Raw genomic sequence first — 2,709 nt, 5'->3', positions numbered from 1 at the left:
TAGCAGGTAATATTGAAAGGCTAGAAATCTGTTGCAATTAGAACACTAATGATAATGCCACTTAAACACTTTTTTTTTTTTTTGAGATGGAGTCTTGCTCCTGTGGCCAGGCTGGAGTGCAGTGGCATGATCTTGGCTCACTGCAACCTCCACCTCCCAGGTTCAAGCAATTCTCCTGCCTCAGCCTCCTGAGTAGCTGGGACTACAGGTGTGTGCCACCACACCCGGCTAATTTTTGTATTTTCAGTAGAGATGGGGGTTCACCATGTTGACCAGGATGGTCTCAATCTCTTGACCCCAGGGGATCCGCCCACCTTGGCCTCCCAAAGTGCTGGGATTACAGGCGCGAGCCACCGTGCCTGGCCTAAATACTCATTTTCTTATGATGTATGTGATGAATACACACACACACACACACACACACACACACACGATTTTCCAAGCATTGTATCTTGCCATTATACTCAGTGAACAGTTAAGCTCTCTCAAATCTCAACACTTTGAGCTTCCAAAATGATTTATTGTTATTAAATGGAGATACAACAATAAGAAGTAGTCTGTATACTCTGTGTATATAGATTTCAGTCTATAATAGGCAGCAGAGCCCAAATTTTGAAGACAAATTATAAAGTTTCTCAGGAAATCCAGGCCTGTTGAAGAGAAGTACAAAGCCATATGCATTATTCTTGTTTTTGCTTTATTTTAAAATCTTATTTATACTAGGATTTCAGAAAACCAAAATTTGATTGGCAATAGAATTGTGTTTTTATGCTGGTTCCTTAAACTAAGGGAAAAAAGAAGTGGCAGTAAGATTATGGATTTCAGTATGTGATCAGAGTCAAATTCTAGGAAGCTTAAGTTGTAGGAACTTGGAAATTCGTTGATTACACATGGTTTCTGAGGAATGCGTATCATTCTCCATGTAGTGGCTTCATTCAATTCCCATATTATAGAGCTTCTCGTTTTCACTTATATAAATATTTAGGTTAGATGAAATAACGACAAACATCAGTAACAATTAAGTAACAGGTAGTATTATTTATATTGCATATAAAATTTAAGAAAGTAACATGAACAAAATTGTGGCCTAAATCATATAGAAATTTAATATAAAGCATCTTTGAAAAATTCCATGGCTGTGCTAATCACCCAAGAATCAATGCCCTTTGATGAATTCACTCTGTGACTCTGGAAAAATGGGAGATAACAATGACCTTCAACCTAAAATCTGGGTATCTGATGAAACCTGTCATCTTTAATTTTGCATAATAACTTATTTTGCATATATTTATTTACAGCGTAATACTGTCCAAATGTAAATACTTGGCATTCTATTTTGTCCATATATCCCTATCTAGTACTCACTCAACACATATCTAGTTCTTTATCTGTTCTACTTCCTTCTACGTCACAATATGTTGAAAACTTTTCATGAGAAAAGTACATTTTTCTCAAAACCATCAATTTTTACGCTTCCTCACCCATGTTATTCTGTGCAAACATCTATCGAGAGAATAAGGGGTGAGTCTTGCTATCAAACCACTTGGGGCTCTTTGCTCCAGAGATTAGTCTTTAGTTTCAAGGAGCATGACTATTTTCCTCAATAAATCTCAATGGGCTCAGACATAAACAGATTGAATGAATTCACAGATGACCTTAGCTGTTCCCTCTCGTATTCTCTTTTCCAAACCATATGTATCAATGATGTTAACATGAGAATGTATGGACCTTGACTTTGTGAAATAATTTAATATATGGAAATACAGGTAAGGCATATAATGGAAGCCAAGAAACTCTTCAGCACTTAAGGTCTAGGTTATGTTTTAGAATTATGTTTTTTATCACTTTTTAAGGCAAAAGTAACAGAATTCGAGTGAATAACTATAGATTACAACACATGAATAGAATTAAACAGTAGAAAGCTTTTGGAGTTGTGAGTAGGGGGGAAATTCTATTATTCATCTGTGTTAAGAAAAACTGGTACACTGAAATGAGTTTCTGGAACTGCCAATGTCTGCAACTCTGAGTACACTACACATAAAAAGTATGGCTAGCTAAAACACATTATTATTTAGGATTTTTACTATATTAATATCATCATAAGCATTGAATCAGAGTTATGTGTTAAACTGAAATTTTATTAAATATTTCATTAAATTGGATAACAGTATCAGTGTAAGAAAAAAACTTGTTAAAAAATAAACTCATTAAAGTTGAATAAAAATACGATGGCTTATTTATAGTATTTTATATTTTTAAGACGGAGTATTCCTCTGTCACCCAGGCTGGAGTGCAGTGGTGCGATCTCAGCTCACTGCAACCTCCACCTCCCGGGTTCAAGCAATTCTCCTGCCTCAGCCTCCCAAGTAGCTGGGACTACAGGCCCCTGCCACTACACCTGGCTAATGTTTGTATTTTTAATAGAGATGGGGTTTCACCTTGTTGGTCAGGCTGGTTTTGAACTCCTGACCTCTGCTGATCTACCCGTCTCGGCCTCCCAAAGTGCTGGGATTACAGGCGTACAGGCGTGAGCCATGGTGCCTGGCCTATGGTATTTTTTAATTATGTAAAATAAAGTAAAACTTATGTAAAAATTACTTACAATTTTTCTTTAAAAATTTAAAGTAGTAGATTACAAAAAGACATGAAGTAGTGTTACAGCTCTTTTAGAATTTGTCTAGCAGGTTTTTGGTTTTTTAGCGAAACCCT

The 2,709-nt window shown here is 36.2% G+C and overlaps 1 pseudogene; it reads left to right on the top strand.

The window, feature by feature from the left end:
* On the top strand, positions 2,652 to 2,709 carry RNU7-53P (RNA, U7 small nuclear 53 pseudogene; annotated as a pseudogene).

This window comes from Homo sapiens, chromosome 5 (genome assembly GCF_000001405.40).
Source record: "Homo sapiens chromosome 5, GRCh38.p14 Primary Assembly".
NCBI classification, from domain to species: domain Eukaryota; kingdom Metazoa; phylum Chordata; class Mammalia; order Primates; family Hominidae; genus Homo; species Homo sapiens.
This window is presented reverse-complemented; position numbering and strand designations above follow the sequence as displayed.